This window comes from Homo sapiens, chromosome 12 (assembly GCF_000001405.40).
Source record: "Homo sapiens chromosome 12, GRCh38.p14 Primary Assembly".
NCBI classification, from domain to species: Eukaryota; Metazoa; Chordata; class Mammalia; order Primates; family Hominidae; genus Homo; species Homo sapiens.
This window is the reverse complement of record NC_000012.12, coordinates 38,200,739-38,207,458: the sequence shown is the minus strand read 5'-3', so window position 1 is coordinate 38,207,458 and position 6,720 is coordinate 38,200,739. Positions and strand designations below refer to the sequence as shown.

Genomic DNA, 6,720 nt, shown 5'->3' with positions numbered 1-6,720 from the left:
CACCCCTTTCTTTGACTAGGAAAGGGAATTCCCTGACCCCTTGAACTTCCCAGATGAGGCCATACCTCACCCTGGTTCGGCTCACTCTCGATGTGCTGCATCCACTGTCCTGCACCCATTGTCTGACACTCTTGGGGTTGATTTTAATGTGTTTTTTTACATTTCTTGTACTTTTGTCATGGAAGAAATGTTGGATAAAGAGGAATTTGTCAAGTCTCAACTAATTTAGGTTTAATTCATGCTTTACATGAAAATTTTGTGTTTAGGCTGCTGAAAGCTTCACAAGACCATTGTTAAGAGGCGAATGTCCCATGTGCGTGGAGGAGGATGCATAGATTTGTCTGACACAGACTCTCTACAGGAATGGATCAACATGACTGGCTTCCTTTGTGCCCTTGGGGGAGTGTGCCTCCAGCAGAAAAGTAATTCTGGCCTGGCAACCTATAGCCCACCCATGGGTCCAGTCAGTGAATGTAAGGTTCTATGATTTCAGTGATGTCCTCAGAGGGAAATGCAGATACACCTGTCAGCAAATGTATGGATCAGCTGTTGTCCTTAATACTGTGTAACCATGGGAAAGTGGGACTTCAAACACGGACCAATGTTAAGGATCTGGTGGGTCTAGAATTAAGTCCTGTTCTTTATCTGATGCTATTTAACAAACTGAAGAATACCATCAGCAAGTTTTTTGACTCCCAAGGACAGGTAAAGTGTGTTCTTTTTTATTTTTCACCTTTCCCTATGAATAGAGTGACTTGTTTGAAATAAGGAAGACTTTTTCTTTCCGATTATTTAAATTAGGTGCTCACAGTTTTTAAAAATTGCCAAAAAATTGCAGAAAGAAGAGTCATCTCAATGTAGGGGTCAGCTTGCTTCTTAGGAACTCTGGTGTGTATGTGTGCCTGAGGATATACATGCCTTGTGTATGGGTATGAGTGTCTGCATATATCTGTATGCCTGTTTGGCTGTGTGCCTGTCGGTGCACGTCTCTGTTTGTGTGTTTAGATCAGTTGGTTTCATCTCTCTAAGGGTCTGTCTTCTGGGCATTGATGGTAAATCATTAATATGTTTGCTCTTTCTATAGGTTTTATTGACTGATACCAATACTCAATTTGTAGAGCAAACCATAGCTATAATGAAGAACTTGCTAGATAATCATACTGAAGGCAGCTCTGAACATCTAGGGCAAGCTAGCATTGAACCAGTTATGTTATATCTGTTCAGGTAAGCGTTCTACTGAAATGTAGCAGAACCATACTTTAAGAGATAAGAAAAACCTCTTACACATTGATATTGGTAGTAATTGATAAAATAATTTGTCATTCTTTACTGCACACAAACTAGAGTGTGACAATAAGGTAACCAGAAGTTATATATGTTCTCATAAAAATAAATATCTTATTGTTTTCAGACTTACATTTAGTTCATTTAATTGATGACTAAAGTATTTTGAATGACTCCAGCATGCAGAAGGGCCCCTGATCCATGCTGTTTCCATATCCAAGCGCAAGCTTGTCTAGAGCTTCAGCAAATCCAAGCCTCACTGCATTCCCTGCAAGACAAAACTGAGCCCGACAACACCCACTACACTGGTTAGCTGACAGTCCCAGCCCCTGCTCCCTCCTGGGCCCCTGTCTGTACAGTTCTGAAGTCCTGCAAGAATGTTGAGGTCCTAAGCCGACTTTCACTGAAACAGGTAAACAACCAGGGGCCTCCAGGGGTAGAGAACATACCCAGACAGGTTCTGTTGCCTGTAGGCTTGATGCCCTTCCCCCACAACATGCCGTGCTTGTCTGGCAGGAAGGGGGGTTCCAGAAACTTGGGAAACCTGGGCCTGTAGCTGTCATATGGAAAAGAGGCCTGGAAAAGCACCACTCCTGTTCCCCAGATGGAACCAGGTAATTGGGAAATACATGGGCACCAAGCCTGACCCCCACTCAGACCCAGGTGGGAACTGTAGCAGTGACTTGCCCCCTCTGCCACTCTGGCTGTACCACCACAGGAGGAACATCTGACCCCACACGTGAGTGGAGACACTAGGTGTGGGAGGTTCCAGTGGTTGCTGCAGCTGAACCTTCCCAACCAGATCCATGGAAGGCCATCCCAGATTGGTGCACACCTGGGTTGGGCAAGGACACCCCTCAGAGAGTGAGAGCCATTGAGGAGGGCTATCACAGAGGCCCCTTTGCCTGCTCTGAGACCAGGTTGGGGGAGTATGGGGGACCTCTCCCTCCTCCTAGCTGCTTCCAGGAGCCACTTCCTTCAAGATAGGCACTCTCCTGCCAGCCTGTTCCCATTTGGCTGCAATAGGCCACTGCCAACATTCAGAGAAAAGAAAGGAGCCTCACCTCTTTTCTCTGACATATCTGAGGCAGGTGGTATGCCCAGGGGACCTGGGGTAGAACCTGTACATCTGCCCACCCCCAGGCTATGCTGGCTTCATCTTTTCTGTGTGATAGGGGTAGGGTAGGAAATACCAAGAGGTCATCACACAGGCTGTGAACAAGTTCTGCAAGAGCCAGGTAGAAGAGCACTGTCCTGACATGCTGCACAGCACCCAGCTCACACACACATCTCTTATTTGAAGTTCCCCAAAGCAGGCTTTGAAGTCCAGGCTCCCCGAGAAGCCTGGGGAGGAAACTGCCAGGCTAAAGGGCCTATCCCCAAAGGTGCCACCCTCACCAGTTTCATCCAGACAATCTTATTTTTGCCCTGAAATTCTGGAGTGGGGGACAGGGAGACAGCAGACACTGTGCATTAGCCACCTTTCTAGAGAGCATCAGCCCTCCAGACTGAGGCAGGTCAGACCTCCACTCGGGCGTTTTTCTCACTGGTTGCCAACTGGGGGAAGCAGCACTTGTGAGCACCTGCATGTCTCCTCAGATCCTGTTCAGAAACCCCATTTGTGCCTTTGGAGAGACTGCCCCGAGCACACCAGCCCAGCAACTGCCATCTATGGCCCCCAGGACCTAATCCCCTTCTACATAGGGTTCAGTGCATGTGAGTATACACTGGGCTCGATTCCTGCCCACTAGTCCCTGGCAGATATCCCATGCCCACCTCATCAAGAGAATGAGGCCACACAAACACACCCAGGCCGTCATGGTGATGGAGTGGCTGGAGTCCTACTTGCCCACCCCTCATTGCTGGTTCAGAACCAGCTGTCTGACCACATCCCTACCCCGAGGTGGGATTTTGGGAACATTGTCCACCAGGGTCACTGACCACTTTTAAAGTTCCAGAAACAGAGGGCCAGTTGTTCCCCTGGAAGTTTGCTACATGGGATAAGCCAAGTGTTGCCTTCAGGAACAGGTTTTCCACCACATAGCTGCCCAAGGCCCAGGGCATCCCCAAGTTCATGTGAAGCCTACCTGCCATGTCCACAGCCCATGCTGACCCCTCCTGGAACCACTGGAATGCTTGTTTCTGGGCATGTGTTAAGCCCAGACAACTTCAGCCTTGCAGGACAACTATGTGCATCTGGCAGCAGTAGCCAGAGGGACTATAGAAAGAAGTTGGAGGTTAAACCAGATGCTATGAGAATACTTTATTAGGCAAAACTGCATACTATAAAAGTGCTTCAAAATGCAGCAGGAGGAGATGTGAAGACCCAAATGAACAAGTGCATAGTGACACATGGCTGTCAGAACACAGTAAAGAATCTGCACTGCTTCCCCACCTTTACCCAGAAAAGGAAAGTTCTAGGCCACCTCCTCCTCGTCAGCTGTGGCATCCTGATATTGCTGATATTCTGACACAAGATCGTTCATGTTGCTCTAGGCCTCTGTGAACTCTGTCTCATCCATGCCCTCACCCCTGTACCAGTGGAGGAAAGCCTTGCACCTGAACATTGCTGTAAACTGCTCTGAGACAAGCTTAAAGAGTTCCTGGATGGCCGTGTTGTTGCCAATGAAAGTGGATGATGTTTTTAGCCCCTGGGGTGGGATGTCACAGACGGCTGTTTTTATGTTGTAGGGGAGCCAGTCAACAAAGTAGCTGCTGTTCTTATTTTGAATGTTGAACATTTGTTCATCCACCTCCCTCATGGACATGCAACCCCTGAAAATGGCAGCCGCCATTCGGTAGCGGCCATGGCGGGGGTCACAGGCGGCCATCATATTCTTAGCATCAAACATCTGCTGGGTAAAGTCAGCCATGGTCAGGGCCCGGTACTGCTGGCTGCCCCGGCTGGTCAGTGGGGCAAAGCCAGGCATGAAGAAATGTAGCGGGGGAAACAGGATCAAGTTCATGGCCAGCTTCCACAGGTCAGCATTCAGCTGGCCTGGGAAACGCAGGCACGTGGTGACCCCACTCATGGTAGCATAGCAGACACCAGGTGGTTCAGGTCACCATAGGTGGGTGTGGGCAGTTTTAGGGTTCTGGAACAGATGTTATATAGAGCTTTGTTATCTACGCAAAAGGTCTCATCTGCATTTTCTATGAGCTGGTGTACTGAGAGGGTGGCATTGCAGGGTTCCACAACAGTGTCTGACACCTTGGGTGTGGGCAGGATGCTGAATGGTTTATGATCCTGTCTGGATACTCCTCCCGGATCTTACTAATGAGAAGGGTACCCATCCCAGACTCAGTCCCCGCACCCAGGGAGTGGGTCAGCTGGAAACCCTACAGGCAGTCACAGCTCTCAGACTCCTTTCTGACAATGTCTATCACTGACTCCATCAGCTCTGCACATTTTGTATAGTGCCCCTTGGCCCAGTTGTTTCCGGCCCCACACTGACCTGTAAGACAGTACAGCCAGTCACTCAATGGCCAGGTATATGGTCATCAGTGGTCACCACCACAATGCAAAATGCACCAAGTGTCAGGTGTGAGGTGAGAACACCAATTACCCTGCAGGTGGAGCAAATGAAACCCCCTCCCCCAGAGTTACAGGACAGCAGCCTCCCCTGTTAGAAATTAAATCACGAGCCAAACCTGAGACAGGCTAACAGACCTCCCTGCAGGTGGCTCCTGCCCATTTTCAGGGAAGGCAGTAGCCACGGCCCCAGCTCAGCTCCCTGCAGGGAGTTTACATCAGTAGCTCCTCACATTGAGACACCTGGGCCTTCCTCCCAAAGCCCGTTTAGGAGAGGCAGATCAAGCGACTAGGAGGATAGGAGGGTGTTCAGGGGCCCTGGCTCCACAGTTCCCACAGCGATGACCTTGGGGCATTCCCAGATTTTAAGCTACCCTGGCTAAGGAGCCGCACCCCAGTTCTCACCCAAGGCTCACCAAAGATGAAGTTGTCTGGCCTGAAGTTCTGCCCCAAGGGCCCCGAGCGCACAGAGTCCATGGCGCCCAGCTCCAGATCCACGAGCACAGCGCGGGGCAAGTACCTGCCACCTGAGTGGGACGGGAGGGCATTAGCGAGGGGAGGGCCGCAATTCCCAGGAGGGCGGTTGGGGAAGGACTGGGGTCTCACCCCTGGACTTATTGTAGTACACGTTGATACGCTCCAGCTGCAGGTCGCTGATCCCGTGGTAGGTGCCAGTGGAGTCGATGGTATGTTCATCAGAGATCACCTCCCAGAACTGCAAGAGATGGGAGGGGCCAGACAGGCCAGGGCTGAGTCACGGAGGCCAGTGAGCCGGAGGCGCCCCAGTCCCTCTCCCAGCCCCTCTCCCACCCCCACCCTCATCCACACCCCCATCCCTAGGCCGCCGTGTCCCTGGGGTCCACCCTGGCCGCCTCGCCAGCTGGCCAGTTCCACTGCGTCCCTGGCAGGGAGCCCAGGGGCCGCAACGCAGGGGCGCCAGCCCCACCACTGCCGCTACCAACATCTTCCCTGGCCACCCGGCAGGCCCGAGCTGGGCCCTCAGAGCCCTGGCTGCCAACCTTGGCGCCGATCTGGTTCCCGCACTGCCCGGTCTGCGTGAGCACAATCTGCCTCATGGCCAAGGTGGGATTAGGGCGGCAGGAGAAACGCGAGAAGGAGGAGCAGAGGCGCAGCGACCCAGCTCAGGTGTACCCACCTGTGAATCCCTTGGAGTTGAACGTCTGTTGGAGAGCTCAGGTAGCCTTGCTGTGGTCCTTTCCACGTTGGGGAAAGCTGGTCAGCTGGAGAACTTCCTACCATGTCTTTAGTAAGACGAAATCCCTAGCTGAGCTGAAACTGAATTTTCCTCCTATGTGGGAGAGGAAGACTCTTGTTTCCATATTCACAGAGTGTCCTAGATTGGTGACATATTTTTGTGATTGATGAGTCTTTTCATCTATTAGGAGATCTGTGATTAGGAAAGGCCTTCCGTATGTTAACTCAACAGGACTTAATTATAAGTTTTACTTTGGAGCAGTTCAAACCCGCAGTAAGCTATGGGTGTCAGAGATAGTCAGGCCTCTGATTTATCTAGAGTCTTCTTTGGAGTAGGATTAGCCCTTTCACCTTACCAGAGGACTGCAGCCTCCACACAGAGTGAAGGTAATATTGGATTATTAAAGCTGAGGATAGGTATTGGGATACGCCTGCTGTGAAAGATGGGCCATTGCCACTTTGCAGGCTTTTAGATTACCCAAACTGGGGAATTATTTCTTCTGGTAAACATTTTTCAGATGGGGTGCGGAATGCCTTGATCTAACCAGTGAAGGTATCAGTAAGCATTAGCAAATATTTGAATCTCCTGCAGAAAGGCATCTGAGTAAATTAGAGTTGCCAGTTCTCACCTGGATAGGTTCCTCAATGTTGGACAGATTTAACTGGAGAAGGAGAAAATTGCTGGCCAT

The 6,720-nt window shown here is 50.5% G+C and overlaps 3 pseudogenes; 2 read left to right on the top strand and 1 right to left on the bottom strand.

The window, feature by feature from the left end:
- NF1P12 (neurofibromin 1 pseudogene 12) lies at window positions 265–1,227 on the top strand (annotated as a pseudogene).
- Window positions 1,447–2,074, top strand: LOC100421618 (ciliary microtubule inner protein 2A pseudogene; annotated as a pseudogene).
- TUBB8P5 (tubulin beta 8 class VIII pseudogene 5) lies at window positions 3,529–5,950 on the bottom strand (annotated as a pseudogene).